The sequence below is a fragment of the Homo sapiens genome, chromosome 3, assembly GCF_000001405.40.
Source record: "Homo sapiens chromosome 3, GRCh38.p14 Primary Assembly".
In the NCBI taxonomy this organism is placed as follows: domain Eukaryota; kingdom Metazoa; phylum Chordata; class Mammalia; order Primates; family Hominidae; genus Homo; species Homo sapiens.
This window is the reverse complement of record NC_000003.12, coordinates 5,836,741-5,843,723: the sequence shown is the minus strand read 5'-3', so window position 1 is coordinate 5,843,723 and position 6,983 is coordinate 5,836,741. Positions and strand designations below refer to the sequence as shown.

General features: G+C 39.4%; 1 long non-coding RNA gene across 4 annotated transcripts in view; it reads right to left on the bottom strand.

Annotated features, from left to right (window-relative positions):
- Nucleotides 1-290: 290 nt before the first annotated feature.
- The window catches only part of LOC105376941 (uncharacterized), a 28,394-nt gene continuing 21,701 nt past the window's right edge, over nucleotides 291-6,983 (bottom strand). For 2 of the 4 annotated variants that reach the window (XR_001740586.2, XR_001740587.2), the window contains one exon: nucleotides 291-2,590. This is a non-coding gene — a long non-coding RNA (uncharacterized LOC105376941). The remainder of the gene's footprint in view (nucleotides 2,591-6,983) is intronic. The other 2 variants (XR_001740588.2, XR_001740589.2) reach the window with 2 other exon arrangements.

The window sequence follows — 6,983 nt, the reverse complement described above, 5'->3', positions numbered from 1 at the left end:
AAAAAGGAAAAAATGCAGAAATATCTAAGGAAATAGGAATCATCAACCATATCAGAAAACTGAAGCTTTAGGTTAAGCTTTGGCACCCTTGTATCATTTTTACTCTCCAGTCATTTGTTTCCAATCCTTGCTGAATCTTTAAGCCTTCTCAAGTCCCTCAAAGCTCTCATCAATACTTGAACATGGGCCAGTATACCACTAGCAGTCACATCAAACAGGAAACAAAGACCATTAGCAAAGGACCAACTACAAATGATGCTAAGAAAAATTTATAGAGCACAAAAAAATGCTTCATTTCTTGGCTATTTATTTTTCTGGATACCACATTGATTTTCATAGCAGTATCTTTTATTTGTTTTATTCGTTGTTGGTGTTATAATCCTAAGGAACTTTGAATTTCAGCAGCTAAGCTCTATTTCAGGTAAACAAAGCAAAGGTGTAGCAAAGTATCTTTCAAGTTAGTATCTTCCCTCATAGTCTGAGCTCCTTGAGCCATGTTATTCAATCCCTTGTATGTCTGTGCAACCATTAATATTTAGAAAAATATTTTGTATCTGTTGTCTCACCCCCAAAAATGGAGCTTAGAAAATATTGTATGCATTATTTTAACAAGTAAATGTTGATTATCTAATCTGTGCAATGTATTTTGCTAGATGCTGGATTGATTTTTCTTCAGAAAATGGAAAAATGTAAGTGATAGCGTCCAGTGAATGTTAGAAGTTGAAATTTTCCCGACCATTTTATTCCATTGAGCAAGCTTGCATTCATTCATTCATTCATTCACGTGTCCATGTGCAGTCACCATGTACAAAATCCTCTTTTTATGCTGGATTCCACAGAAGGACTTAACATCTCTGTACTTTAATTTCCTTATCTGTAAAATGGGAATGATAATAATGATAGTATTTCATTAAGTTTTTTGCCAGGAGTAAGTGAGTTAATGTGTCTGACACAATGGGTCTGGCACACAAGGCCTATGCATATATTGATTACTGTTTCAGCCTCAGAACTTTAAGAAGTATTACATGAGGCACCCCATCGAGCACCCCATTATGGTAGCATACCTTTTATTTGGAAGGTGTAAGCCCAAAAGAGTGAGGGTGAGATAAAAAAAAAAAAAAAAAAAAAAAAAAAAAGAGAGAGAGAAGTGAGGCAAAGAAAAAGTGATGTGAAATGATGTTTCTCCACTTTACAACAAGCTGCCACGAGACCAACAGGACACTCAGGAGATATGTTTGCTTGTCACATACAACTTCTCCAGAAAGACTGCAAAGAAGAATCACATCTTGGGGCAGTCTGTTAGAGAGAGGAAGGTGGAGAAATTAATCTGCCCAGGTCTCTTCCACCTTTCATATTCCATTGAGCAATCCTCATCCCTCACATCTTTGCAAGTTGCAATACCTGACTCCTCTGAGGCTTTTCAGAAAACTAGATCCCACACTCGGTGCCGTTGTGTTTCATCCTCACAGTTTTTTCTTATATGCTACTTGCTATGAATTAAGCTATAGAATGAGGACCGAAAACAACACTAAGGTTGCCTTTGAATCAAACCTCATTTTCACAGCTCTCAGCATAGTGTAGCAGATAAAAAGCAGAGCCTTAAAATTAGTCAAGCAATTTTGAACTCTAGATGTGCTACTTGCAGTTGTGCAAATTTTTTGAGTCGTCTGAGTCTTGTTTTCTTCATCTATAAAATGGAAATGTTAATATCTACCTCATAGAGCCATTATAAAGGATGAATGAGCAGTAGAGTAATTAGAGCTGTGATTGGCACATAAATGTTCAATAAATGTTTACTACAACCATAATTATCATTGCATACAAATGAGAAGACAAGGAAAGCCCATTCAGCCCACTGACTGTGAATCTACTAGGATCACACTAAAAGGAACATATTACAGCCTACAGCTACACAGGAAATGTAAAATTGAGTAACAACTAAGATGGATTGGATTAACATAGAAAGCCTGAATAAATAATTCAGAATCCAAACTATATATTTCCCTCACTTTCCTGAATTACCCAAAACGTTGCCACTTCCCCCACTTCAATTTTCTTTATGGATGCCGCCATAAAGTCACCTTCTACATGCTTATTTGCTTCTTTGACAGTCATGCTCACAAATGCGTCACTAGAATCAAAATGCATTGAGATCAGATGTTGTAAAATCCTATTTTATTCTCCCCAAACAGAGTCATACAGAGCCTTAAGACCTGCAGCAATGCTCACTGCAACATATTTATAACAACATTGCAGCGAGCAGTGATATCACTACAGTCTTATTGATGGATGCCTGTATGTGAGATGCTTAAATTTGTAAAATAGTCATCTTTTTGCAGATTGTGCTGCACCCTCCCTCCCTGCTTGCTTGGGGCTTCACACGGCTATTTTTTGATATTAAAACAAGCAGGCTATACAAGAGACCTATTTTACATTGCAACAAAACACAAACTTAGGTTTTTAAACACTGTTGGACTTACCTTAGGCAGAGAAAGAGAAATAAAAAGCTTCAATTTATTTAATCTTCTTGCTTTTTAATAGATGTGTGTTTTACTCCTCTTCACTCCTCTTTCTTTTGAACCTAGAGAAACTAGAATTAAAGGGGATACATTAGGAGAAAGAAAAAACTCAGACTAATTTTCTTTAGATTCCAATGAGCTATGACACCACGTCTCTTAGTTCAAGCCTAATACATTAACCTGTATTCCAATGATTTGACAAGCATATCTGGTGTAACTAAACTGGGTGAAGTTTAGGCACAGGTCTAAACACTTGTTCTCAATATTACTATCAATTATGCTTGTTACAAATTTCAGATTTTCATGCATTGCATCCCACATTGATATTTTTATTCAGGAAGTCTGGGGCGACAAGCAGGTATCTGCATTCTTAACGAGTACTCCAGGTGATGATCCTGCTACCGGTAATTGACGAACCACAGTTTGAGCAACTGATTAAAGTGTGTATCAGCCATTTATAAACCAGTGTCAGAAGAGAAGGCACATCTCTCTTCAGTAACTCTGACGTAATAGCACAAAACACCTGGTAGCTGAATACTAAGACTGCTGAAGTTCAAGAATATTTGTATTTAAGGTAATAAAAAGCTAGTGTTTTCTCCCAGATTCAATGAAAATCATAGCTGCCTCATCCAAAAGCAAGTGATTCGTTTCTCAGTACTTTTTTACATCCTTGCTGATGTGCTTGCATTTCCAGATCAAGAAAATTAAGCCAAGCTTCTTTGACTGGTTTCTAAGAAGACTCTCTGTTTTATACAACTTTCTATGGTACTGAGGAAGAAACGATGACTGATTCATTCCAAAGATATTCCCCTACATACAACTAAGAATGTTTCAAGAAACTTCTAGTGAATTCAAAGCATGTTTCCCTTTGAATTTTTTGTGATTCATGACCTTTTTCTTGCTATTTGAATTTTCCTACTGAGTCTTTCCTCCCCAGTGGTTTAATGATGTTCTGTGGTGACCTCCCACAGCTTCAAAGCAGCGCCAGTAGAAAGCCCACAGATGCATGAGATAAATACATGGCTAATATGTTCAACATAACGGTAATGAGCACATATGCTTCCAGGCAGAATGGCTGCAGAGCAAGTGTGGAAAATAGATTGTGCCTCCATGCTAATTTCAATTAATTGATATTGGCTTCCATGTAGGATTTTATTATGACAGACTGTGGGGCCGGATTCTCCAAGGAAGATTTTTACCTGAAGAATAGAAACTAAGTAAGAAGCAACCTACTATTTTATTTTTACTTATACTAATGCTCAACATACTACATGCAGGCATCAGATAAAGCTGAATTGGGATTACCCAATTTGGTACAAGTGATAAGTAGGCCCTGTTGCTTTCTTATATGCCTATCATGATATAGGAGACCTCATTTTATTACATTTCACAGATACTGCATTTTTTACAAATTGAAGGTTTGTGGACACCCTGAGTCGAGCAAATCTATCAGTGACATTTTTCTAACAGCATGTGCTCACTTCAGATCTCTGTGTCACATTTTGGTAACTCTCTCAATATTTCAAACTTTTCTATTATTACCATATCTGATATAATGATTTGTGATCAGTGATATTTGACGTTATTATTGTAATTGTTTTAGGCACCACAAACTGCCCAACATAAGATGGCAAACTTAATTGATAAATGTTGTGTGTGTTCTGACTGCTCCAGCAACTGGCCATTGCCCCATCTCTCTCCCTCTCTTCAGGCTTCCCTATTTCCTGAGACAACAATATTGAAAGGAGGCCAGTTAATGACCCTACAATGGCCTCTAACTATTCAAGTGAAAGGAAGAGTCACACATCTCTCACTTTAAATCAAGAGCTAGAAATGATTAAGCTTAGTGAAAAAGGCATGTTGAGAGCCAAGATAGGCCTCTTTCACCAGTTAGCCAAGATACCAGTGCAAAGAAAAAGTTCTTGAAGGAAATTAAAAGTACCACTGCAGTGAACACATGAATGATAAGAAAACAAAACAGCCTTATTGCTGATATAAAGAAGGTTTGAGTGGTCTGGATAGAGCTACAACATTCTCTTAAGCCAAAACCCAATCCAGAGGAAGGCCCTAACTCTCTTCAATTCTATGAAGGCTGGTAGAGGTGAGAAAGCTACAGAAGAAAAGTTTGAAGCTAGCAGAGGTTGGTTCAGGAGGTTTAAAAAAGCAGTTGTCTCCATAATGTAAAAATGGAAGGTGAAGCAGGAATTGCTGATGTAGAAGCTGTAGCAAGTTATCAAGAAGATCTAGTTAATATTATCGATGAACATGGCTACACAAAACAACAGGTTTTCAGTGTCCATAAAAACAGCCTTATATTCAAAGAAGATGCCATATAGGACTTTCATAGCTCATAGAAGTCAACGCCTGGCTTCAAAGCTCAGAAGGGCAGACTGACTCTTTTGATAGGGGGTAATGCCGCTGGTGACTTCAAGTTGAGCCCATTGCTCACTGACCATTCTGAAAATCCAAAGGCCCTTAACAAATATGCTAAACCTACTCTACCTGTGCTCTATAAATGAAACAAAACTTGAATGGCAGCACAGCTGTTTACAATGTGGTTTACCGAACACATTAAGCCCACCGTCGAGACCTACTGCTCAAAAAAAAGAGATTCCGTTCAAAATACTAATGCACAGTGACAATGCACCTAGTCACCCAAGATCCTTGATGGAAATGTACAAGATTAATGTTCTTTTCATGTCTACTAACACAACAACCGTTCTGTAGCCCATGGATTAAGGAATAATTTTGACTTTCAAGTCTTATTTAAGAAATACAACTTGTAAAGCTATAAGTACCATAGATAGTGATTCATCTGACGGATCTTGGCAAAGTAAACTGAAAACCTTCTGAAAAGAATTCACCATTCTAGATACCATTAAGAACATCGATGAGGTGGTGAAACAAGATGGATGAAGAGAACCCTCCAATGATCATCCTCCTTGCAGGAACACCAAAATGAACAATTATCCACACAAGAAATTACATTCATAAGAACCACACATCAGGTGAGCAATCACAGTACCTGGCTTTGATATCATAGCAAGCAAAGAGGCACATAGAGGGTACAAAAGACAGTCCTGAATTATCTACACTGCCCCTCCCCACCCCATCCTCACCCCCTGCAGCATCGTGCAGCATGGAGAGAGAATCTGTGTGCTTGGGGAAGGATAGCAAAATGATTGTGGTACTCTACATTGGAAGTCAGTGCTGCTCTGTCATACTGGAAAGCAACACAGGGCAGAATTCAGCCAGCACGTGTGAAGGGAGTATTTAGACCAGCCCTAGCCAGAAGGGAATCATCCATCCCCAAGTTCAGAACTTGAATTCTGGCTAGCCCCATCACTGTGGGCTAAAGGGCTCTGGAGTCCTAAATAAATTTGAAAGGCAGTCTAGACCACAAGGACTGCAATTCCTGGGTAAATAAGGCCTGGTGCTGTGGAAGGCTGTGCTAGGGCCAATGGACTTGCGGTGCACACAACCCAGTGAGACACCAGCTGGGGTCACCAAGAAGTGCTTGTATCACCCTTTCTCCAACTGCAGAGAGGGCAGCTTGTAACTTGTGGAGAGACTCCTTCTGCTTGGGAAAAGGAAATGGAAAAGTAAAAAGGATTTTGTCTTGCAACTTGGGTACCAGCTCAGCCACAGTAAAATAAAGCACCAAGCAGACTCATAAAATCCATGATTCCAGGCCTAAGCTTTCAGATGGCAGTTCTAGACCCACTCTGGGCCAGAAGAGAACCCATTTCCCAGAAAGGAAAGATCCAGGCCTGACAAGATTCACTACCTGCTGACCAAGGAGTCCTTGGGCCTTGAATAAACAACAGCAGTAGCCAGGCAATAGTCACCACAGGCCTTAAGCAAGACCCAGTACCATGCTGGCTTCAAGTGTGACCCAGCACATTCCCAGTGGTGGTGGTCACATGAGTGCTTGTGTCACCCTTCCCCCAATTCTAGGCAGCTCAACACACACACACACACACACACACACACACACACACAGAGAGACTTTATTTGTTTGGTGGAAAGTAAGGAAAGAGGAGAAGAGACTCTGCCTGGTAATCCAAGGAATTCTCCTGGATCTTAGTGGGACCAACAATGCATTACACCTATGAGTCTGCAAGAGTCACAGTGTCACTAGGCTTGAGGGCCCCCTAATGCAAATATGGCTGCAGTGACCAAAGTCTTAAGACTTAGATCACAACACTCACTTCCCTTTGAATACTTGGAAAGCCTTCTCAAGAAGGATGGGTATAAACAAGCCCAAACTGTGAAGATGAAAATAAATACCTAACTCCTCAAGCCCTAACATTAATGAACATCCATAAGAATCAAGATCAGCTAGGAAAACATGACTTCACCAAATGCACCAAATAAGGAACTAGTGACCAATCCTTGAGTGACAGAGACATGTGAACTTTCAGACAGAGGATTCAAAGTAGTGGTTTCAAGGAAGCTCCAAGA